We start from the raw sequence: 26558 nt of genomic DNA on the forward strand, positions 1-26558 counted from the left end.
AGCCATTACAGTGATCTGGAAAAGTAATTATAAAGGCATGAACTGTGGTAGTGATGAAAGCAATGGAGAAAAGGAGACAGAATCGAGAAGTATTTTGATGATAAAATCAGCAGGATAGGGGATTAATCAGATCTCATGAGTGGAGAAAGTACTGGGATAAATGGAAAGAGAGGATACATATGGCCACCAGATTCATCTCTCTATTCATAAAACGATGGTTGTGCCACTGAATGAGATAAAGACACTAATAAGACCCTAAGTCACTTTTCTTTCTAACACAATGACACGGATTATTTTCTACAAATAGAGAACAAAATACTAGAGTATCTAATATTTGTAAGGCACTTTTGCATTTATAAAATGTTTCACTCATTGTAAGTCATTTGGTATAATTACAATGCTGAAAGACAGGCAGGGCTATTATATTTTATGGACGAGAAATTATGTTTCACAGAGGACATCTACTTCTCAAAGTCACACAGCTAGTAAGTGGGAGAGCAGAAACTCAGATTCAGAACTCCCTTCCAAATCCATCCCTCCTTCCCTGTAGCAAGGCCAGTTCTTTTGGTGAGGAGCCATCTCCCTGCCAGGACAGAGACAAGCTGTTTCTGCCTTGGTGACAGCGTTTCCTGCCTTCTTGCCCGGGTTTCTGTAACTAGCACTGTGCATTGGTGACCATGGTCAGGAGTGGATGTTCTTGCTGTAGGATCATATTTTAGGGCTCCACTTGAGATACATATGTGTTATACCTTCTTTTTCCTCTTGCCACATAAAATCCACAAATGGAAGGCCGATGAAAAGTCCCTGGAGCAAATGTACTCTTTGTAATTTTCACAAGACCTGTCAAATTCTAGATGACTGCAGGCATTTCATTAAATGAAGTCAGTAGGGACTTACTAATGCCTCTGTTAACTTCACTCTAAACTAACCCAAATTAACCTGGATCTCAAAAATCTGGGGTTTCAATAAGAATTTCTAATCTTGAAAGCTTATAGCCTTTCCTATATGGCACAGCTGAAAGATTCCTGAAAACAGAAATTTAGGAAAAGGGAAAGAAACAAGCAGAACATAAGTGTGGGTTTGGGAGAAGCATGATGGAGAATGGTGGAGCAGGAAGGTGGTGGGATTTACAGGGAAGAAAGGATAATGTCTCCAGGCCTATATATTAATTTCCCACTAAATTCAATCAGATGTCACAGATGGCATCCACATTACACAGAAATATGAGGTTAAAGCAAATTGATATGGAATGGCCCTGCTTGTGAGACCGGAGGACACCCCAACTAGTCTTAACCTAGGCAAAGGCAACATGGCACTTCCCCTGAGAAGTATGATGGCAGGTAAGCCTGCCAGTGTCGCTGAAGGAACATGAAAGAGCATCTAACTCCCATCTGTGGCACAGCTAAAAGATTCAGAAAAACCGAGGCAGTGGAAATAGTGAAATGCATTCTCACATTTCATCCCCTTGGGTTTACCCTAGCATATGATTTGAGGATGAGGGACTGTAACAAATGCATCATATGTGAAAGAGAAGGAAGAGAAAGTAGAAACGAAAGACGTCTGCTTCTAACAGTGACATTTTTAAAGCAAGCACAGTAATCTCTGAACATGTATTTGAAAGTACAGATTTCTTGTTCAAATAGGGTACCACAGAAACACAGAACCCTAAAATGCTCACAGGTAGAAAAGCTCAGGAAGAATGTCTTTGTTTTCAAATATTTGTTAGGGACAGGAAGCCATTAAATAAGATATGTGGGTATTGTTAGTGTATGACATATGGGTAAATAATGATGTTTGTTTTCTAGAGTGGTTACTACAAAACTTAACTTCTTAATTAAAAAAAGGAATAAAGATGGAAATGGTTTAAGCTCAGAACTGTGAAGGCACCAATTTGTAGATCACTGAAAATATTTGATCTTCCATTCTTTCTCAACACTTCATCCAAGCTATTGATGGGAAGGAACTGGAGAGGGAGTGGAAGAGGAATATGAGGAAGGTGTGTCCTTACTTAAACTTGAGGCTTACTGACCTGGAATTATACATTTTCTTTACAGCGCTGTCATTCATTTAAAGGTCTGGAGGATAGGCATGTCCCCTAACACCTTCTTCCCAGAGAGCTGGTGACATACAGTTATATTCCATTCTTCTTCCCATACCTTCCTCATTGACATAACTTCTGGAGGTCACTACTGTAAGACCTTGAGAGTTCTGCATATGCTGAAGAATATTGGGGAGGGCTTCACAGTGTTTAAATATGTGGTTATGATGGAAGCAGAAGACATTTCTTCACAACATATGCAACTTACTCATCTGAGAAAATTCCTTAACCCGAGACAGAACTGGCTTCAGTGAAAATATTCACAGAACATGAAGGAAACTGCTTTGCATCAAGTGCAATGTGTGTCCCCAGTGTGGTCATGATGGAGTGTTCTGTGGTGTAGCAGAAAGGTACGAGATATGGCTTCCTTCTCCACTTTGAGAAACAGTGATTTGGGCTTAGCCATTTCACCTCTCCGAATCTGTTTTGACCCCCGAGAAATGGGGATACCAACAGTGCTGCCGAGAGTTACTGGAGGATCCAAATTAGAACAAGTATGTGAAACCTTTGTACAGTGTAAGTTTGATACAAATGATATTATCAATTACTTGAGGCCTCAGCATCCTCAATTTTAAAATAAGTTGAATACGATGACTTCTGAAGTCCATTCGTGATTCCTGAAAACAGAAATTTAGGAAAAGGGAAAGAAATGAGCAGAATGTAAGTGTGGGTTTGGGAGAAGCGTGATAGAAAATGACGGAGCAGGAGTGAAGAGGAAGGTGGTGAAATTAACAGGGAAGAGAGGATAATGTCTCCAGGTCTATATATTAATTTCCCATGAAATTCAATCAAATGTCATAGATGGCATCCACATTACACAGAATAATGGGGGTAAAGCAAATTAATATGAAATGGCCCCGCTTGTGAGACCAGAGGACACCCCAACTAGTCTTAACCTAGGCAAAAACAACATGGGACTTACTATGACACGCATGACAAACTTCTATGAGTCTGTGGTTCTGTGAGATAGAGATTTAGCAACCATCCAATTAATGCTTCTTATTGATCAAATCAGACTATTTGTTTTTTTAATTACTCTAAAAACACCACTGTATACATTCCATACTTGCAAATATATAAATTAAGCCCCTGGTTTTGTTTTTGTTGTTGTTGTTGTTGTTTATTTCTTTTAAATTCCAGGGTACACGTGCAAGATATGCAGGTTTGTTACATAGGTAAACCTGTGCCATGGTGGTTTGCTGCACCTATCATCCATCACCGAGGCATTAAACCCAGCATGCATTGGCTATTTTCCCTAATGCTCTCCCCAACCCCCACCCTCCCCTCACAGACCTTAGTGTGTGCTGTTTCCCTCCCTGTATCCATGTGTTCTCATTGCTCAGCTCCCACTTATAAGTGAGAACATGCAGTGTTTTGTTTTCTGTTCCTGCATTAGTTTGCTGAGGATAATGGTTTCCAGCTTCATCCATGTCCCTGCAAAGGACATGATCTTGTTCTTTTTTATGGCTGCGTAGTATTCCACAATGTATATGTACCACATTTCCTTTATCCAGTCTATCACTGATGGGCATTTGGGTTGATTCCATGTCTTTAGAAGCCCCTGATTTTTTTAATCATCTGTGTTCAATACCTTTACATCTTTTTTTTGACAAATAGCCACATCATTTAGGAATCCTTATAGCCCAATTGATTCTCTAGACTGTAGCATCCTAGCATCACTCTGTGTTGGCAGTGGGCCACAAATGGATGACAGATGTGTCAAGATGTGAACTACAGGTGTACCAAGATATCTACCTGCTCAGCCTCAGGATGGCTGGGCAGTTCTGGGATGGCCAGAGCCCCTTGGACTGTGAGTGGCCTCATCTGCTTATCCCAGTGTGCTGTATATAATCAATGTCAGTATTTTCCATGACAGGAAACACTTTGAGGATCATAGTCTAAACTAATCAAGTTTATCAAATTATATTCATTTCATGGTAGTTATGCATAAATCAAATTGGCTAAGGTGTTTCGATTTACACATTCATGTTTCTCTTTCTAAACTTTGCTAGTTTATTAATAACTTTAGAGTTTAGTAATTACTATAAAATCAGTTTCACAAGTCTAAGAATAGTGTGTTGTAATGTATTAATTTGAGTTTTTGGAATCCTAATTTGAGGTATAACTGAGACATTTATACAAAACAAATGTTTTTTTTTGTTTGTTTTTTTGTTTGTTTTTTTTTGAGATGGAGTCTCGTTCTGTCACCCAGGTTGGAGTACAGTGCCACGATCTCGGCTCACTACAACCTCTACCTCCCGGGTTCAGGCGATTCTCCTACCTCAGCCTCCTGAGTAGCTGGGATTACAGGCATGCGCCACCACAGCTGGCTAATTTTTGTATTTTTAGTAGAGATGGAGTTTCACCATGTTGGTCAGGCTGGTCTCAAACTCCTGATCTCCTGATCCTCCTGCCTCAGCCTCCAAAAGTGCTGGGATTATAGGGGTGAGCCACCACACCTGGCCCAACAAATCACTTTTTAAAATTCCTTTAAAGCATAGAAACCTTGTTTCTTTAAAAAATCCTTGCTATTCAGTGAAGGCAGAATTCCTATTTTCAACTGAAAATAAAAGTCCTATTTGCATGAGTGAGAAAGGAAATGGGGAAAATGCCTGCAGATGAAGACAGATAATCAAGTTTTTCTTATGAATAGACATGTGCCAACATTCCTGTGGAGTTGTTTTTAGTATCATCTTTGTATCCAACTTACAATTTTACATTTAGGTAAGAAAATATAGAATATTTTTAGCAATATTTTCTGAAAATACTGAAATTCTTCTTTTGGATATAAAATATGAAAATCCATCATTTGGGGGTTACCACTTAACCTCTTTCAGGAAAACTCAGGTAGAGTCCAGGTAGATTGCATGTGTGAAGATTCTAGGCTTTTCATTGTTGTTGTTTTTTAAAGAAGCTAAAGAGCAATTCATGGCATAATAAAATATACTTGAATCCTAAAAAATTATAAAAAGATAAAGGAATTCTTTTTTTTTTTTTTTCATTTCTATGGCTCATGAGAGATTCCTAATATTCTTTATTTGACCCAGAAACCTTAAACTGCCTAAAATATTAGTTGAGTTTGGAGTATAATGTCTGTTAAGAGAATTTCTTGTTCCCACTTACCTCTATCAATTTCATAGCACTTACCATATGTTATTGTTTGTCCTATTTCAAATATAAACCAAACTCTTCTGGTCTGACGTTAAAGGCCGTGTTGTCCTAACATTTTAAATCTAGAATGGTTGTAGAATGAGAAAAAACAGTAGGGTTAGTTAGGAGATATAATTGGGTATTTGACTACACATAGCAAAAACCAAAATAGGGCCTTATTGACTAAAGGTTTTATTCTCTCAAGTAAGGAAAATTCAGAGTCAGGGCATCAAGACTGGAACATTAGCCACTAGGGACCTGAGCTTCTTTTCTCTCTTTACTACATGATGGAGCATTCCATCTGTGAGAACTTCTCGTGGTCCAAGATGGCTGCAGAAACGCCAGTCATGACATGTGACAAATGGACACCCACACTCTTTTATTTCTTTTGTCTTTGGTTTTTTGGGTTTTTTTGTTTTGTTTTGTTTTGTTTTTTGGTTTGTTTGTTTTTGTTTTTTCTTTGAGACAGAGTTTCGCTCTTTTCGCCCAGGCTGGAGTGCAATGGCACAATCTTGGCTCACTGCAACCTCCACCTTCCAGGTTCAAGCAATTCTCCTGCCGCAGTCCACGCCCAGCTGATGTTTTCTTTTGTTTTGTTTTGTTATGTTTTGTTTGGTCTTTTTAGTAGAGACAGGGTTTCATCATGTTGGCCAGGCTGGTCTCCAACTCCTGACCTCAGGTGATCCGCCCACCTCGGCCTCCCAAAGTGCTGAGATTACAGGCGTGAGCCACCATGTCCAGCCTCCACACTGTTTTATAGAACTGTCCCACACAATCCTTTCATTACGTGTCACTGGAAAGAAATCAACCTTGTGGGCACATAGAGTTGCTAGGGCAACTAAGAAATATCACCTATAGCTGGCCACTGCAAATAAAATTGGGATCTTGTTCTAAATAAAGAAGACAATGAATGATGAGGTAGGCAATTAGCAATTTGCATCACATCATTTAGGACTCTACAACAGCAAAAAAATGAAAATGTAATTGTTTTCAAGAAATGGTAACAGAAATGAGATGAGTTCACAGTATGGAGAAAATAGACTGCTGCTATCAGACAAAATAAAGTTGTGCCTTATCATTATTGTATGGAAAACTATTTTGTCCTCTACATTTATCCCCGTGGTCAGGCAAAGCTATGATTCAAGCTGAGGTGAATTTCCAGGAATGCAGCACATTCTGCTGCCCTCTCCCCGTGAGTCCTACCTAGAAAATTACAAGCTTTCCAGCTGCTGTCCACAGGAAAGATGCTAAATTCCCATAAAGCAGTCCTTTTCTATTTAAAATTTTGCGTTTCATGTCAAGCACAAATGCATTTTCAGTAGTATAATCAATCTAACTTCCTAATCTGTTTTTGTAAAAAGACTTTAAAATGTTAAAATCAACGTATCTTCAAGGCTTTCCTTAAATTATTAATCCTTGAGTGATTTACTCTGAGCTATTTTGTAGACATATTGTTACCAAAATCTTGTTCTTCACATACTCTTTTAAAACATAAGAGTCTATTAAGAGTACTCTGAGCAACATCATAATGTTGCTAAAATTATTAGGAAGCAGCATTAACACTTTAACTCACTATATTCTCATTACTCGGGAAGTCATTACCTCTTTGTATTTTTACTGGTTGGTGGGTTTGTGCAGAAAGAATAAGTAAACCTGAAACCAATATTCTAGTTGTGTGAGTTTTGTGAAAAGTAGCAATGAAAAGGTTTGAAACCAGTGCAGACACAGCTTTCCTTTGCTTGTCTGTACATTATATTAGCTTATATATTTTTGCCATCTATATCCATGAATGATCAAGTTGACAATTATAAAACAACAAGATAAAAATGGAAAATAATTGATTTATCATGGAAAATAGCTACCAGCCTTGGAGTCAGAAGACCTGAGTATAATTTCAGGTTATGCTTTCTCAAGCTACTGTGGCAGGAGGAGGTGGGGTGGGGTGGGGGAGGACTAATAACACCTGCTCTAATTTCCCATGTAAGTTGTTGTGAAAAGCAAATTTGATGATTTATACCAAAATATTTTCCTGAACTGTGATGCCTTGTGAACACAGAAGGAATCATTTTATCCATGAAAGAGCAAATATCTTCCCCTGGGATTTGAGATATAAGAAACCACCTAAGCATAGGAAAAATCTGGTTCACAGTTCAATTATTATCAATGTAAGGTCAGGCTTTCAGAAGATAACTAAATATGTGTTAGAGGAAAATGCTAGTTAGGAAATAGTTGTGCACTAACCAAGTTGGAAACGTTTGACTTTCATCTACCTTGACTGGCGAAAATGGCTCTGTGGGGTTTGTTTTCATTTGAAAAACATGAGCGCTGCACACCACTGTGTTGTTCAGGGTAATATCAACTCACAGAGAGTATCACACACACCCCAGGAAGCCCTGGGGCCTTTCAAAGTGTGCCGTCTGCTCTAGCTTTAGAGTGAAGGGAGTTGCCAACACATTTTGAAAGTGTATTGTACGTAGCATAGCATATGACTTTCCATTCAAAGGCAGGACTCTTTTCTCATTATCTCACTAGTGCCTGATGAAGTGCCTTATACAGGTGCTCAACAAAGGGTTGCTGAATCAAAATGTTTCTCGAAGTTAGAATAAATGGAATTGAACAAATTGCAGGTAGTGTTAATGCTTAGTCAAATATCTGGAAAAAAATCTGTTAAATATGGAAAATGGCAAAGCAGGAGTGCTTGGAACTTAATCCAGCTCAATCTTCTCTAAGTTCATTTATCTAACACCCTCAACCAGCCAGCAAAAACAGGGAAACACAAGCAAAAGCAAGCAGAATTCTAATAAACCGATGATGCCCCCCTACACAAGCATTTGCTACCATGCCCATACACAAAGGACTTGAGAGAGACCCTCACGTCTTCATTCTTATTTTAAACATGGATCTAATGAGGTCTAACAAGCCACCTCCTGGTGTCTCCCTCATGTATTATTATAGAAGGGAGAAGGTGGGAGAATACTCTCCCTAGCACGTTAGAAGACAAGTGTAAACATGCCAATGATAACTAGAAATGATCACTGATAGCAAAGGAGGTAAAAACAATACTATGAGAAGCATCCATAAGGAATTTCAAACAATGTTGATCTGGTGTCATTTATGTATTGGGCAAACTGCTTTCCACATCCCAGTATCACTTAGAAAAAGTCAAAATCATAGCCTAGAGCACTTTGGATGTTAACTTTTTTTTTTTTTTTTTGATGGAGTCTCACTCTGTCGCTCAAGCTAGAGTGTGCAGTGGCATGATCTCGGCTCACTGCATCCTCTGCCTCCTGGGTTCAAACAATCCTCCCACCTCAGCCTCCCGAGTAGCTAGGATTACAGGCATGCACCACCATGCCTCGCTGATTTTTTTTTTTTTTTTTTGTATTTTTAGTAGAGACAGGGTTTCACCATGTTGGCCAGGCTGGTCTCAAACTCCTGACCTCAAGTTATCCACCCACCTTGGCCTCCCAAAGTGCTGGGATTACAGGCATGAGCCACCGTGCCCAGACTTGGATGTTAATATTGAGGACCCAGAGCCAAAACAAAACAAAACAAAACAAAACAGTGACATCATCTGCAGTACTCTTTAAAGACCAGGAAATGTATAATTAATGTTTGAAAGTGCATATGTTAGATTTTGCCACAATCCCCAATGATTGTCACCACCTCCCCACACACATACACACACACAAACCAGAGAAGTGAAGGGAACCAACATCCCCACCCAGGGCTCCCAGGAGAGCGGAACTTATACCCACCCCACCCTGGGCTCGACCCTATGGCTTGCTTTAGCCAATGGCAGGTCAGCAGATGTGCCAGATGCCCTGTGTAAGCAGATGTTTTGAACAGCACTCGCAGTTTCCATCAGCAATCCTGCTCCTGCCATGGCAATGCCATGCCTCAGCCCAAGTCCTGGAGTGAGAAGAGCCACAGCTTGGAGCAGCATGGAGCCACTGCCCCCTCCATGAAACAGCAGGAGATAACCCTTTTTTTTGTTGTGAGCTTTAAAGATTTCCTTGTGCAAATTCCGTGTGCTTTAAAATATTTTATTTTTATTTGCTTGTTTTAAGTTGGAACTTTTAAATAGTTCAAGTAAGGCAGCATGGAAATTCATGTATCTAGAGACCCTCTTTTCCCCTACTGTGATAGATAATTGAGGTATTACTGTGAATAGCCTCAGTTAAAATTGCACTTGAGATGGTGAGAAAACAGCCACAAGCAGCCAAATGCAGTGTGTTAACTAGATTGTGCCTCCTGCACCCCACAAGCCAGGATGCCTGGCCTCATCTCCTTGAAGTTAGGGAGACAAGTCCTGCTGGGGGTGGGTTGGGAGGGGGATCTCAGAGGATGGAATTTTCATGGACTGGGGATATTGAAGATGATGTCACTCATTAAGGTGTGGGTTAAGGACAGCTTTCTGTTTCTGGAAAAGCAAGCACCCCAGTACTACTCGGAGCCTGAGAATGACTGACTGCGTGACTATGCACAAATTATTTCACCTTCTGCCTTGTCACCAAGGATTAATTAATCATTGCAAGTTGTCTCGCGACTCCACAATGCTAAATACAAATAGAGGAGACCCTCGAATTCATGGAGCTGTGACTCGTGGTCTTGAATATTCATTTTTAACCATGCCAGTGCACTCTCTCACCCAGCAACAACTCTTTGTTTTACTGAGTTCTGAGGGTTCCCCTTCTGTTTGGAAGGTGAAAGGGGGGCTGTACATGGTGTGTGGCTGCAATACTGATGGCCTGTTTTGTTCTCCTGGGGAGATACTGTAAGGCACAGTGGCAGATTCACCTGAAGCTCATTTTTGCCCCCCAAAATTTCTCCCCATTAATTTTTCCAGTTTGAAATTCTCTAGGCATACAAGATCTTTTAGAGTGTAAATGCACTTCAAGAGAAAATACAAAAACAGAACACTTATGAAGGAAGACTTTGGTGTGGTGTCATCCCCATTCTGCCCTTACTGTGTAATCTTGAACAGATCCCTAAACTTCCCTGAATCTCAGTTTTCTCATTTAAAAAGAAAAAAAAATGAGTGAAAATAGTTCCTACTTCATTGGTGTGTGGCTATGATAAAGTGAACTAATGACTATGAAATGTTTAATATTGGCACATGATCAATGGATATTAGCAAAAATTCTTGCTTCTTGATTAAGAGTTGAGTGTCATCCACGTCTTGGAAATTGTGGGAATTTGGAAACTCAGGAGAACAAAAAGAAAAAGGTGGAATGGTGAGGGACTTTTGGCAGTCACGGGGCAGAATGGGGCTGTAGGATCTGAGGAATGAAGGAGGAGCTGGCGATAAAATGAGGGGGCGAGGGGAAAAGGGAGCAAAAAGAGAGAAGGAAAGAAGACCAGACATGAACCCTTTCGGTTGTGCCCAGATCCCGGCACTAGTCCACGTGGTGCTGGAAGTTACTCCCTGAAGTCAGGCAACTGGAAAACTAGGGCTCCAAAACTGTTTTCCCTTCTCAACTGGGTATCAGACCACGTGTCCCAATTTGGGGTTGCTGTGATAAGAATTGAGGTAGATAAAGTCATTTGGAAAGTTGCAAACATGACCTTGGCCCAATTTCAGCCCACTGCACCTGGTCCCCATGATTCATGCCCCACTTTTCCAGCTCACTTTGTGTGGCCGCATCCCTTTCCCTACTCTTCCACAGTGTGGGATGAAGGATTCAGCTCAGCATTCCCAGAGGCACCTAATGTCATGGTGTCTTTACTATCATGGTGGTTTGATACATTTTTTGGATCATATTGTTTAATCGATTCGAAGTTTGTTTCCTACTGCAACTATATTCACCTGCCACTGTCTCAAAGAGGAGGCTATAGGTGATGAAAGGCCCACAGGGGGCGATTGGCAGATACGGCTGAACAGAATTGGTAAACTGAGTCAGGGCTTTATGAAAACAAAAGCCAAGTAACTCACTCTGCCTCCTTAATCTCTGGTGATAATTTACCTTAAGATGGAAATTTCAGCCTGGGAGTGTTGAACCTATCTTTAAGCTTAGCAGTTGTTTAATGAACATAACAAACTCCAGCATTGCTCTGGCCCCTGTCAGAGTCCGTTACTTCACATATGTCAAGAATTTGAGCAACCTTACTCCTTCAGACATGGAAAGAGAGTACGTAGAAAGAGATGTTAGCTGGTCATTTGAAAGCCACTCAAAAGAACACTTCTGGATACTTGTTGAAGGAGGTGAAGGCTCTCCCATGGAAAACTCCTTCAGTTGTTGATGCCTAGGATAGACTGTATGTTGGCATGTTTGCCTTCTTGGCAACTCTGGGAAGGGTGATCGTAAACAGTCCTGTCAGCTACAAAATAATTGGCGATTATTTTGTAGATAGAAAATAATCCTATCTTGTAAATGCTTAGCTGCTTCAGCCCATGCGAAGGTCTGAGGAGTCAGCCTTCACGGAAGAGACTTGCAACACCTACTTGTCTGGGCTTCACTTTTCCTTTCGTTAGTGCTAGTGGGTTGATCGCTGTACTCTAGACCAGTACTGTCAGCATCAGCATCACCTGGGAACTTGCTAGAAATGCAATTTTAAGGCCGGGTGCGGTGGCTCATGCCTGTAATCCCAGCACTTTGAGAGGCCAAGGCGGGTGGATCACCTGAGGCCAGGAGTTTGAGACCAGCCTGGCCAACATGCTGAAACCTCGTCTCTCCTAAAAATACAAAACTTAACTGGACATGGTGGTGCACACCTGTAATCCCAGCTACTCAGAAGGCTGAGGCAGGAGAATCACTTGAACCCACAAGGTGGAGGTTGCAGTGAGCTGAGATCGCCGCCACTGCACTCCAGCCTGGGCAACAAGAGTGAAACTATGTCTCAAAGAAAAAGCAATTTTATAGGTCTCATCCCAGAATCAAAAATGCTGGAGTAATTAACAAGACCTCTAGATGATTCTGATGAACCCCTACTCCACGTTATGAATTAAGTACTTGAGCCTAGGGCCTTTATTTAAGGGTTGTCCTTCTCTTGCGTAGCTCTTTTAAAGTGTCCAGTATTCTGAAGTTAGGAGCCAAGTGTGGTAAAGATGTTTCTTTTGGGAAGAAAAGCTTCCTCAAAATCTAATTGCTAGAAGGAAGTCAGTAAGTTGTCAAGGAATTTTAAAAAAATCAGTACTAAGATTATGACTCTAGCCTGGATCTTCATCTTTCTTGCCTGGCTTTATTCTCCAATAAAACTAATTAGCAATTTAACTATGCAAATTTTGGAAGATTTCTGATTTGGATTTAGTCCAAATATGAAAGTAGTGGTACATAAGGACATTTTTCTTAGTGAATTTGGAAAGCATTGATTTACAGTAGTCCAGTAGTCAAAATCCCTTTGAGCCAGATGGGCATTAAATATGCTGGCTTGCTATTTGTGTAACTACAGTTTTACAGGATTTATTGATCCAATACTTAACCAACCAATGGCCACATTAAAAACAATCCCTTCCAACTCTCTCCCATAATTACCAGTAAACCACCACATAGGTATGTTCTGTAAGAGATGATTTAGGAGATAGATAGAAACAATCTTGAATTATTTAAATCGTTTGTTATGTAAAAAAATGTAGAATTATTTTGTGTGGCTCAGAAGAATACAGCATGACTAAGCATCTAGAAGAGAGGGGAAGGCAGATTTTTGTTCAATAAAAGGGAGAATTTCCTAATCTTAAATCTCACCCTAAACTAAACAGGTGGCCTAGTGAGTCCCTTGTTACCTACACAGGGACACTATTCACTGATGAGTGAGAGGTTTTATTCATTAAAGGTTGATGGAGGTGAACTTTTAAGATCCCTTTCAGACTCAGAGATTCCACAAGGTGTTTTCCAGAACACCTCCTTCACATTAGCTCTCCAAAGTCAGGCTTGCTAACCTCCTTTCTCATATATGATCTCTTCCCTGAAGCCATATTCCAAGGAGAAAAAGCAGAAAGCAGATGGCCTGCATGCCAGAGCATCATTTTTGATGATTTCACAAAAACAGTTTATGATCATTTACATTTATCCTTTCGTGTGTACTTCAAGGATATGCTGTATGCAAGAGATCTTGATATGGAGGGCCAGACGCATGTCAAATCCAAGCCTTTGTGTTTTCAACCCTGATTGAAACTAAATACAATTATGAAACAGAAACAAAGATCAGAGAGAACCAGCAAATTAAGAAAACATCTAGAAGTCCACCAGGACTGGAGGCCTCAGTAAACTTTAGGAGCCCTGGTAAACTTTGCAGGCAGCCAGACTTAGTAGACTTCTATTAATGATGGCAACTATTAATATTTTGAAATTGACAAATGTTGTTCTATGACACATTTCATATTTCACCATAGCGAGCCAAGGGAATGTTAGGCTTCAGATTCACAACTTTATAAAGCATTTTCCAAATAAACCAAGCTCCTCACTATTGTTGGAAATAGTTGCTGTGTTTGGCTAATCCACCCATCATTGAAAACTGTTTTAGTTTCCCCTCAATTTTTATGCAAATTTTATATATACCCTAATCAAGAGAACATGAGTGCAGTCTTTATTTTTGTTTTTCCTTAATTAATAAACATCATCTATCTTCCTTTCTATGCAGGATGTTTTAGTAAGCTTGCAAATATTATTAAAGATTGCTTTTCTTTTTGAAGACTGAGATATTAAAATCAGCCCAACCCTGTTGCACTGTAATCTCTAATATCACATCAGGTTTTAATAAACCTCCTTTTTGCAGCACACATGTGCTTGAGACTTCATGGAAACCAAGTCAGAAGAGAGAAGGGATTACTTTAGATGACTTTAAAATATGCATTGTTTGAAATGGCCTCTGGTGACCAGCTTTCATGAATGGCTGGCTTTACTTGTGGGGCCCATCATCCAGTTTAATTATATCAGCTCCTTTGTGTGACAAGTGCTGTTCTTGCATATGCTGAGAAATGAAAGTTTAAAACAAAGTAGAGTAATGAGTGAGAAAATAAATTCTGGAAGTGGAACACCCCTGGGTGTTTGTACGGAAGAATTCTAAGGACTGGTCCACCTATAAACATCTATTTATAGAGATACTCCACAGTGACAGTAAGTGTAAATTTGCCTTAAATGTCCCTGGACCTAGATCATAATATGTGCCTTTTCAGGAAGATTTATTTTACATATAAGTAACACTTTAGGATGCTAATGTGGCTCTTAAAATTTTCATTCTATAAATTCTTATGCATAAAACTTCATAAAGGTTACTTTTTTGTAACATTAGAATAAAATGCTAAGTTTTTATTAGCTAAAGTATTTCCCAACTTCTGTCCAGCCAGTAAACTAACACAGATGTCATAAAGTTTCAAGACACTACAGGTTCATTATTTGAATCTATAAATGTTAGGAAAGTTATGGTTTTAGAAATCTCCTGTTGTATCTCTTGAGTTGTTAGCCTTTCTAAAAAAAAAGAAAAAGAAAAAAAGAAAGAAAGAAATTGGTGAGTCGCCGTGGCTCACACCTGTAATCCTAGCACTTTGGGAGGCCGAGGCAGGAGGATCATGAGGTCAGTAGATCGAGACCATCCTGGCTAACATGGTGAAACCCCGTCTTTACTGAAAATACAGAAAATTAGCCAGGCGTGGTGGCAGGCGCCTGTGGTCCCAGCTACTCGGGAGGCTGAGGTAGGAGAATGGCGCGAACCTGGGAGGCGGAGCTTGCGGTAAGCCGAGACTGCGCCACTGCACTCCAGCCTGGGCGACAGGGCGAGATTCCATCTCAAAAAAAAAAAAAAAAAAAACAAAAAAAAAAAACTTCATACATAAACTGATCTGCATTTTAAAGTTTCCTTGAAAATGTCTCCAAGCAAAGGCATTGGCTTTAATAGGATATTTGATTTTTTTAAGGTTCTCCTGTAAGTAATACATTTTGAAAAAAAAATACAGCTAATCTCCATAATTTGCCTTGAGCTAGGAACTAGAATTGTCTTTTGAAATGTGAATGCCTCCTTCACACTGTTTCCCAGAGCTTTCTTTCCTGGTCCTCTATCTGCCTCTGCGGGAGGCCAAGGGAAGGAGGAAGGAACTTGTTTCCCCACTCTGCTGTGTTTAGCCCTGCAAAGAAGTTAGAGAGCATTATATTGGCAGTGAACTTGATGGCATAGGAAGTAGGCCAGTGGGCTGGGCGTGGTGGCTCACGCCTGTAATCCCAGCACTTTGGGAGGCCGGGACAGGCAGATCACTTGAGGTCAGGAGTTCGAGACCAGCCTGCCAATATGGTGAAAGCCCGTCTCTACTAAAAATATAAAAATTAGCCGGGTGTGGTGGTGCATACCTGTAATCCCAGCTACTTGGGAGGTTGAGAAAAGAGAATCACTTGAACCTGGGAGGCATAAGTTGCAGTGAGCCAAGATCTTGCCACTGCACTCCAGCCTAGGCAACAGGCAAGACTCCATCTCAAAAAAAAAAAAGTATGCCAATGGGGTTCTCTTGACTGCAGCTTCATTTATATAGTAAAGTCAGGTGTTCCTCTTCCTACATACGACTGTGAGATAGTATTTCGAGAAATGATTTTCAGATGGTATATTTATGTTTCGAAACCATTTCTCGTAGTACAAGATAGTGTTTCCAGAAATGCCTTCAAAACATAAATATACCATCTAATTGTCTTTTTAAAAATATTTACTTCAACTTAAAATGTATCTCAAGAATTGTGGAACTTTAAAAATTTTTGCATTGCGCCAGATTATGTACATCAGGAAAACAGACTAAAACGAAACATGTATAAAAAATCCCCGAATCTGTCGAAAGTATATTTTTAGTGTCTAAGAATGATTGAACTTTATACTGTGAGAAAGATTATGTTTCTTCGTTACTTGAGATATGTGTCTGTGTGTGGGTATATATATTTATACACATATCTTAAGTATGTGTGTGGGCATATGCACGTGTATGTGTGTGTGTGGTATGTGCATGTAGAGAAAGAGAAAGAAATGGGGTACTAGTGAAATGTAATGTTTGTGGCATAGACATTAGTGCTCAGCAAACACTTTGGTCCACTAAATTTTCCAGTGTCCTTGCCGTTGAGTGGGGCCACAAGACTAGTCTCATCCAATGAAATGTTAGAAGTGAACTGGGTCACTTCCAGGTTGAAGCCCTGAAAAGCTCCTGCACAATTCTTGAGTTTATTCTTCCCTTGCTTCCTGGTCTAGTTATTGCAGCAACAGGACAACACTGCCCCCATCAGTGTGCATCCATGCATGGCTGGGCAGAGCAGAGTTCTCTGCCATTCTATGTGTGACTTGCAGTATGAGTGACAAATATGCTTTTATCATATTTGGAATTTCTTTGTTATTGCAACAAACTACTTCTGCTGACTAATGCAATATCTCAAGGTACTTCAGTACAAATAAGCCATAGATATATAAAACCAAAGGCAAATTTAATGAAATTTAATGTAATAAACCTTATATTTTAAGACCTAGCTAAGATGCCCAAGACCACATTTTAGTTCTTTTTAACAATATCGCTGCCCTTCCCCCAAACCCACTTTATGTTTTTTCATCAACTTTTATTTTAAGTCCAGGGGTACATGTGCAGGATGTGTAGGTTTGTTACACAGGTAAACGTGTGTCATGGTGGCTTGCTGCACATGTCATCCCATTATCTAGGTATTAAGCCCAGCATCCATTAGCTATTCTTCCTGATGCTGTCCCTCCCCCAACCCTAAAGAACCCCCAACAGGCCCCAGCGTGTGCTGTTCCCCCACATGGGTCCATGTGTTCTCATCATTCACCTCCCACTTATAAGTGAGAACATGTGCTGTTTGGTTTTCTGTTCCTACGTTAGTTTGCTGAGGATAATGGCTTCCAAGTTCATCCATGTCCCTGCAAAGGACATGATCTTGTTCCTTTTTATCGCTGCATAGTATTTCATGCAAATCCACTTTACCTGAAGTTTCCAATGCCTCTTCTTTTGGAAATCCAGTTGTCTCTTCGTTCTCATTCTCTTGGATCTCACTGCCACCATTGAAACCATTGATCATTTGGACCACAATTGGTCACCAATGACCATTATTAGTCCCTTTAGACACTTTGTAACATATGCTTCAGGAATACTGAGTTCTTCTGGTGGTTTTCATAATATCTAGATCACTTTGTTTTCCTTTGTCTTGTTAATTTCATCTGAAAGAAGCTGGACAAATTTTAATTTGGACTTTATGCATTCTCTAAAATGCCCTTCGGAAGCTTGTTTTTATATGGTTTTAGTACCTGCTTTTATGAGGCAGAGTCTCAAAGGCACATTTCTCACTTCATCCTTCTCACTCTTCAACCCTCACTTCATCCTTCCCACTCTTCAACTCCATCTATTTTCTTCCTCCCTGAGAAGACAGAGAGAAAACCTAGAAAACTTAAGTTTATTTATTTCTATGTTTTGTAATGCAACAGATTATTGAAAAAATTCAATATATATATGAATTAAGCCAAAAAATAAAATCTGTCCCTCTCCCTCACCATACACCAGGGATAACCAGCACTCACCACTGTGTGAATAGATGAGCTTTGAAGATTCCTTCCAATTTCAAGATTCACAGTGTTGTGTGGCAGGAGGAGAGGAGAAAGGAAGATCTCATCATTTAGCCAAATATTTCCCCACAGGTGTTCCAGGTCATAGGCATACACTTTTCAGCTGTCATTGTTTGTTGGAAGAGGATTTATTATTGGAGGAGAATAAAAGTGTTACTACACCAGGAGGGGATGATTGTCTATCTTCTTTGCTTGGAGTTGTAGTAAATTAGACCAGGAAACAGGCTTTCTGGAGATTAACAGTAGGTGAACTTGCCAGCTGTGGGGTTGTTAAAAGAAGAAATTAGCTTTTTCGTGGATTCATGTATCTTATAAAGAAGATAGCACATCCTGAAGCCTTACTCTAAAGAAAAGAAGTAATCTCTGGGAGACTCAAAAGCCAAAATTAAGGGGAAAGGGCCATGTTAACTGATCCTAAGAAATGTATGTAGACAGCAATGTAGGATGGGAGGATGAGATGTGGGTACCAGCTTCTTGCTGGTGTAATTCTACTTCGCTTGCCTCTGACAATAATCTAAGCGTGTTCTGGCTAAATTCAGCTTCGCATAACTGCATAATCTCCCCTGCCCCTGCTGTTTCAACTGCTTATGGTGTCCCTTTTTTCTCTGGCCTAACTATAAAGTGCCATTGCTTTGTACTAGAAATAATTCTTCTGCCCCATCCAAGAGAGGTTTATTTCTGTGGCGAGTGGGTTGTTCTGACCCTGTCCCTTGCATACTTCAGATGCATGGGCATTCATTTGTAAAATTTTGTGTTATCCTTGGGTAATAAAAAACACAGAATTTTATCACTCATCAACAACTTTTATCTGAGACCAGGCATTTAGAACTGAGGACAGTTTCAAGGCTTTAAGGAAAAAAAGTAAATGAGAAGCTTGTGACTAGGGCCAGACCTACAGCCTTAAATGTGAGAGTCTGGGCTTAACTATAGAACAAGGTACACTCTAAGCCAGCAATTCTCAAACCCTTTGGTTGTCTCAGTATCCCTTTATATAATTAAAATTTATTGAAGACCCTTGCCCCAACAGTTTTTATGTGGATTATAATTATTAATACTTACAAGTGAAAACTGAGAAAATTTTCAAATATTTGATTCTTTTGAAAATAATAAATCTATTATATGTTAACCTAAATGATATATTTTATTAAAAAAAACTATACTTTCCAAACAAAAAAATTGTGAATAAATTATGAATTCATTTTACATTTTTGCAAATCTCTTTAATGTTTATCTGAAAAGAAGGAAGTCGAATTCTTATTTCTGCTTCTACATTCAGTCTGTTGAAATACACTGTTCTGGCTGAAGTACAGTAATAAAATCCAGAATCACATGAATAAGTAGTTGGAAAGTAGAAGCATTTTAATAGCTTTTTCAGATACTTATAGATATTTTCTGATACTACAACAAAACTTGGCAAGTGATAATTCATTAAAGGTTAGTTGTATTAAGAAATCTGAAGCCATATCAATGAACTTTTCATTCTGTTACAATAGAATCCATTGGTCATCTTGTACTTCAAATGCATTTTTTATTCATGTAAGATTTTGTAGCACTGTGATTATTTGGGAAATTTGGTTCACTGAACTATGCGAATATTCTAAATGTTGACTCATTTCATTTTACAATATCAAAAAATAACATTTGTTAACATCACTACCATTGTCATCAGAAAAAGTTTTACTTATTGGGAGTCTGCCAAGTGTAGTATACAAGTTTTCCAGAATTCTAATTTTAACTTGAAAGGTAGATTTCTATCATTGGTAACAAACACTGTCAATTGTTTCCCTTGAAATGATAGGCTCATTTCATTCATTATTTGAGAAAATGTCTGCCAAATATCCAAGTCTAAAAAATTCTTTTAAGTAAAAGTAGTGTTTCATTTTTTGTTTGTTTGTTTGTTTAAAGCCACTTTAGCTTGCAGCTCAGCCACCTTCATGCTTTTCCTCAAGACAGCCATCATACTCCCCCAGCCACCAAGGGACTTTGTGTGAACCTCTTATCTCAGAAAACACAACAGTGAAAAGAAAAGATGTGTACTCAAGGTCAAGGTTTAATAAAATTAGTGGTTTTACTGCTTCATCTTAAGTGAAGCTGGGTTTTTTTTGTTGTTGTTTTTGTTTGTTTGTTTGTTTTTACTATATGTGAAGCTTCTATCATTCATGCTAAGACAAAAGCGGAAAGCGGTTCTACCTACTATTGCTTTTATGCCATCTGTAGAAATGTCAGCGCAGTGAAGAAAGCAAATAATGTGTCAGTATTCTTATCAAAATAGTTCTGACCTCATGAACCTCTCAAAAGGGTCACAGGGTCCTCCAAACGTCCCAAACTATACTTTGGACATTGCTGCTGTGGACAAAAGCAAGGTGCTTTTGATATATTGGCCACCATCCCCTCTAGAGACCTAGCACCAAGCTGCCCAGCCAAAGTGGGGATTGGGGAAGACAGAGGTCCCCTTAAACCTTTGGGAGCAACAGGGCTTCAGTTTAGATTGGGGTATTGTGGAACAAACATATGTGACCTAAACTTCCTATCCAGTTGGCTGGACATCCTGCCAGTCTTTTTTTTTTTTCTTTTACATGTGACTTGAAACATTTAATGCCACTTTTATAGTTTGGCTTGACGGCCCTAAGCCACCCTAAACAAAGTCTTGTAAACTTTCCACACCAATTGACCATAACTACAACTGCTGTTTTCATTTTATGGCTTGGAGTAAAAGCAACTTATATCCTGGTCTTGACTGGTGAAGAATAGAACACTGTTCTTCAAACTCACTCTGTATGTATAAGAAAAACCTTTCTGCATTTCTTTCATTTTCTACTCTTTCTCAAGATAAATTGTTAGTCTCTAAGGACTCTTGTTGTCCCCCACAAAGTATCCAATTCAAACATTGCATCCTTGTCTCTTCTGTCAAGCTCCGCATTTTGTCTGTCAGGACTTTTTTCCCTTCTTTACTTCTTTTCCTTCTAGAGCTGGAAACCAGGCAGTTAAGAGGATGACAGGCTTTAAAAGGTCATTTTTGAATAAAGAATTGTCTGTGTGCAGTGTTTCTAGAGTGGCATGTTTTGTGTGTTTTAGTGAAGGAAGGTGAGATAGAGAGAGGACTCGTGCTGGCCAGACTAGTCAAAAAATTCAATTTTCTTGACCACTTAATGTATATCGTTGTAGGTATGAATTCCCTGAATTGAATGTTGGTGGTGGTGGGAAGAAGCTGACCAAAAGTTCCAAAGTTCTAGTGAGACAGGAGGAATAAACATTAAAGATCTGTTGCCCAGCAAGGTGACCACAGTTAATAACAATGAATTAATTGTATGTTTCAAAAATGCTAACAGAATAGATTCTTAAATGTTATCACTACAAAAAAAATGATAAGCATGTGAGGAGATAGACATGTTAATTAGCTTGATATAATCATTCCACAATGTACACATATATCAAAACATCAAATTGAACCCTGTAAATATATACAATTATCATTTGTCAATAAAAATAAAAATTTTAATTAAAAAAATAAGATACACTGTGGCAGAAAAAAATGTAGATCTTTTCTGCACCTTTCATTCACCAGAAAGGAAGTTCATTTCATAGGAAAAAACCACTCTCTCTTTTCCATATTAGGAAATGATTTTTGATGTAGTTTATACAAAGGTATCATTAAAGCTAATTTGCTTTTTCCTAAAGGAAGAAGTAAAGTAAATAAGATAAAGAAAAGAATAACTAGCAATGTTGATTGGGTTCCAGCAAAGGTTATCAGCATCTGAATTGTCAAGAACTTTCAGCTTCTTGTATTGCTGATTATTTAAACTCAAATGCCACTGTTTGTCTAACGCAGTGAGCCTGTAACTGTTCCTACCTGGTTGCTACCATCAGCAGGGGTTCATTTACAGTATAGTGGATGCACAAAGGCCCTCTTCACAAACTCTCCCTTCACACACCTCTGCAGGCCTTGAGAGGTGAGCAAAGTTTTTGCTACTTAAGGAACCAACCTCTAAGAAATTTCTGTATTTAACTATTTAGCCTGACCCATGCTTTGTGAGAACAAGCCATTGTTTATCATTTTATTACTTTAGTTTTCCTGTCCCTTCATGCCTGTATCAGGTTTCTCACGATTTAAAACAAATGCACAGAAACCAAACAGTCAGTGCAGAATAATTGCAGGCTTTCAGTGTTCAGCATGTACAGCAATCACTGTGGAATCACCCTGCGTTATTAAGAAGAAAGCACCAAATCTTACATTAGTGACTTCTACAGGGCTGCGTTATCAATTGGAGCTGTCTTGTTTGTTGCAGATAATGTAGTCAGGACTGCCTGGCTGCAGACACTAGAGTTTTGTTTAAAAACCGATTTCTTCTTGTCTCTTTCTCTCTCTTGCAGTATAATTACAGGCTGCAGAGTGAAAAGCATTAGAACTGTTTACAAAACAGCTCATAAAGTTTAAAATAATGGGGATACGTGTGTGTGTTTGTGTAAAACAAAATAATGTGTATGGTAGGGGTAAACAATATCCAGTCTTTCTTCTTTCACTACCCCCTGTCACCTTCCAGAATTAAGGGCATGAAGTTGAGAGATGGAGCCCTTTCCTCCTGCTATGCGATGCTTACACTTAATTAGTTATGCCTACTTATCCAATGCCAGTTTATTGTTGCAGATCAAAATACAGATTCTCAGGTGTATGGGGACTGAGTGGCTGATGAAACAGACTGCTATCTAATTAATTTTAGGGCAGCCTAAATTCCCATAAAGATGTTCCCTCATGACATATGAGAGGAAGATTTTATTTTTTTAATGAGCCCTTTGCTATCTTTCCAAGAGAAAAGCTTTCAGCAGGTTAGTGTTCCAAAGTGAGAGGGGCATTTTTCCAACCCTTTCAAAAGCCTCCTTCTGTGCAGCTTTGCAAAGATTTTGCAGCTCGCCCTTCTGGATTTTATTTATTTATTTTTTAATGCGGAAGGGTAGCCGCTGACTCCAGCCTCGGGGCCAATCAATCATTTTGCTTTGCAGGTTTAAGATCTGTGACAAAGCGAAACCCCTGTGCTATCTGTGCCTTACCAGTCTCACCAACAATAAGCCTGGTGACTGACAATCGAGAGGGGGCTCTGTCCACGTAGGTGCCGGCACAAGCTGAGGACATGAGTGGGACAGAGGAACCAGCCTTGCACGGAGGAAGCACCTTTTCCTTCTGGTGATTGATTGATGGGGGACAGTGAGGAGGTTTTCAGAGACTGGAAAAAATTGTCCCAGTCACTTACTATGAAGTCTTTGTCAGCAGAAAAGACTCTCCGGGGTAGAGAATGATATAATGCAGATGACAAATGACAGGTGTGTGTTTCGTTCTGCTTGCTAGGTACTCAGTATCACACGCAGGTGAGTCAGCGCTCCCCAACATGCCCCTTGCGCCATCTGCTCCCCACATGCAAACACTCGTTCCCAACGCTCTGTGGTTTCCCTGGCACTGCTGGCTCTTCCTAATCGATCGTCAGCTCTGTTGGGGATGTGTAAAGTACTGTCAGAGTGTGAGCAGGGTGATACCTTACCACCCTTTTATGGAGCTGATTATGAAATGAAGATAGCATTTGAATCATTTGTTAGCAGTTCTGAAAGTTGTTTCCTTCTGTTCCTCCCTTTTGGAGCACAGAAGAAAAAATATATGTAATATATACACATATAATATGCTGTTGCAAGAGACTACTTCAGATCGAAAATCTGTTTTTAAAATCATTGACTGATATTTCCTTTGTATTTTTTTCTCCCCCTTCCAGGACCCTATCTGCAGATGTTCTGAATACCTCTGAGAATAGAGATTGATTATTCAACCAGGATACCTAATTCAAGGTATTAGCTCTCGTCAGAAAGCTTTTACATTTGAGCTCTGTGTTGGAAATTCTATTTTGGCAATGAATTGAAATAGGAAAAGTTGGAATGAGAATAAAGGACAAAAGTGAATTTGCAAAATAATCAAGTGCTTAAAAAACTACCCAGCACTTGTGAGGGTTTGCTATTTCTGACTCATGTGCAACCCTGTCTCTGCCAGCTTATGTGCCAATACTGACTTATTTGTAGCCCTTTCTCTGCAACTGTGCTTGGAGTTTGGATTTCATTTTAGTCTCACCGTCTCCGTTTTTCTCTGACTGCCCAGAACTCCAGAAATCAGGAGACGGAGACATTTTGTCAGTTTTGCAACATTGGACCAAATACAATGAAGTATTCTTGCTGTGCTCTGGTTTTGGCTGTCCTGGGCACAGAATTGCTGGGAAGCCTCTGTTCGACTGTCAGATCCCCGAGGTTCAGAGGACGGATACAGCAGGAACGAAAAAACATCCGACCCAACATTATTCTTGTGCTTACCGATGATCAAGATGTGGAGCTGGGTGAGACACTGGACTCTTCACTTGTTAGTCTCTTTTGTTCAGATGATTTCTCGAGTCTCAGGATTATCAGGAGACATTCTGAGGCTTTGCACTTAATTATTGCACATTAACCAACACCCTAGTTTACGCAATGAACTTGTATTGACCATAAGGCATTTGGTTTGTGTTTCAGCATTACTTTTCTGATGTTATGCTTTTGAAATGGTCGGGGAAGGGGCCTGGGGGAGTAGGACAATGGAGAAAGAGGGTCAGCACTGAAGACTGTAGAAGGAAAGGATTGAAAGCCCTCAGTTAAGACATTGTAAAAATATTTGGGCAAAGTTGTTTCAAAGAGTATGAGGATGTGACTGTAATTTTATGCAATGGATATGAATATAGACTGATACTAAAGGAACTTTCAGTGGTTATTAGTATTAGAGTGGATTACTTATTCACAGTTTGTTATAGTAATTGTTAGGTAATTCAAAGTTGCAGTGTTCTATATGTCTTTTGGTAGAGAATCCACTTACTACTACCTTAGATATGATGCTTTTTTATTTAGCTTGCCTAGGCTAAGCGTAGAGCACCCAGAAAGCCTGCCAAAATCTAGTGATTCTAACTTACCTTCTATATCACCTGACTGGGTTTCTTACCTTCTCACCGTCTTCAATGGCCCAGCCCTACGGTCTTGTTCATAAGCCAAGGGCCAATTCTTCTAGTCCACCTAGTGCAAGGCAGATAGAAAGCTTGCCCCTAGAAGTTGTCACTACCACTCCTCATTTCTTTTCCTGAACCCAAATTCCTTGCTCTCAGGCATCACCCAGCTGTGCTTAGCCATCACATTCAACCTGACTGGTAGTTGAATCTTCTAGCAGAGCATGCTGGGCTTCTTTACCGAGCTCCTGAGGCTCAGGTTCTTGAGGATAAAACTCTTCACGCTGGCACTTGGTCTCCATGGAAGGGGACTTTGCTTTCCCACTTGAAACCAGACGGTGAGATCCCAGTAAAGTTAATTCCTTGGGTTCAGCTGGAAGCAAATGCGCTAAAAAGCCAGCAGATGTCATTATTGCTGACGTTGGTTTGAGGAGTCAACCCAACTTTTTTTTTTTTTTAACAAGGGTATTGATTTTCAGGCGACAGGCCAAAATGAAAGGTGTCACACATACATGAGTGTGTATTTAGCACATATGATGTTAGTATGTATGTAAGTGGTGGTTTAAATGTTTTCATTCACTTACAGAGCAAGTAATTTTAGCTTTTTTAGAGCCTTGTGGGTCCATTTCAAGTTAGTTTAGTGCCTAATGTGTTAATAGCACAGTCTCTGCATGAGGATTGCAATGTTAAACATATCCTTGCCCTCTGCTTGACCTCACACCTGAACTCACCTTCCTTAATATCTCACCCATCCATCGCTTTTGCTACAGCTGAGATCTCTGGATCCTCTCATCTTTCCCAGTTTTTCCCTCACCGGTTTGTCACCTGGCCTGCCTGCCTCCTCTAGTCTTGGCCTCTCTTGCCCACCCTTCACTCAATTGCCAGAGTTATCTTTCAAGTATCTCTCTGATCAGATCACTTTTCTGCTTAAGTCCCTTCTGTGGTTTCCCTTTGCCATGAGATTATGCCCTTCTCCTCTGTGGGCAAATGAGTTCTGAGCCTTGCGGCCCCTGCCTGTCCCCAAGGCTGTTTCCCTTTCCTCCACTTTCACTCTGTGCTTCATAAACACAATTGCCATCTCCCCAAAGGTGTCTGGTGGCTTCACCCCCCTCGCCTCTATCCATGCCTTTGCACATCTCATCCCCTCTGCCTTTTCCTCTTTCCCCACCTGGAGAAACCCTACCTGTTCTTCATAACCCAGTTCATGTCATGCGCTTGGTGTTCCCAAAACAAAACCACCCTCCCCTCCAGCAGCATTGATGGAACTTTCCTTTGCACCCCGAGAACACGACTCCAGCATGGTGCTCATTCCACCATAGCCTTCCATGCCTGTCCCTTCCACTTGACCAAGATCAACCAGAGAGCAAGGGTGTGTTTTATGTTGCACTCCTCATGCACTCCTAGTGCCTGGGAATATAGTGGGCACTAAACTAACTTGAAATGGACCCATAAGGCTCTAAACAAGCTAAAATTCCCAGAAATAAATATAAGTATTCATCATCATCTACCTCTTCAATATACAGCACTGTCTTTAAAATATATTAAGAAATTGCTCATAACTTTCTTTTTTAACAGAATTCAAATTTTCAGCCTTGTCCTATAGTTCATTTATTCATCCAGTAAATATTTTCTGAGCAGTTACCAAGTATTGCCTTCTGTTGGAGGCATGTGACTATCATGGTGAAGGGTTATAGACCAGGCTCAGCCAACCCAGATATTTCCTACATATTTGCCTTTAACTCCTTCCTTGATTTTCTAGCCAGATAACATGCTAAGAACTA

General features: G+C 39.8%; 1 protein-coding gene across 33 annotated transcripts in view; it reads left to right on the forward strand.

Moving 5' to 3' along the window:
• The window catches only part of SULF1 (sulfatase 1), a 194132-nt gene that overhangs the window by 73223 nt on the left and 94351 nt on the right, over positions 1-26558 (forward strand). For 30 of the 33 annotated variants that reach the window (NR_182051.1, NR_182053.1, NR_182050.1 and 27 more), the window contains 2 exons: positions 23536-23608; positions 23913-24144. Coding sequence is in view for 22 of the 33 variants with exons in the window: in NM_001412835.1 (NP_001399764.1) it covers positions 23973-24144 (172 nt within the window). In the remaining 11 variants the exon portion in view is untranslated. Of the gene's footprint in view, positions 1-23535; positions 23609-23834; positions 24168-26558 lie in introns of those variants that run through there. The other 3 variants (NM_001412841.1, NM_001412842.1, NR_182055.1) reach the window with 2 other exon arrangements.

The sequence above is a fragment of the Homo sapiens genome, chromosome 8, assembly GCF_000001405.40.
Source record: "Homo sapiens chromosome 8, GRCh38.p14 Primary Assembly".
Classification (NCBI taxonomy): Eukaryota; Metazoa; Chordata; class Mammalia; order Primates; family Hominidae; genus Homo; species Homo sapiens.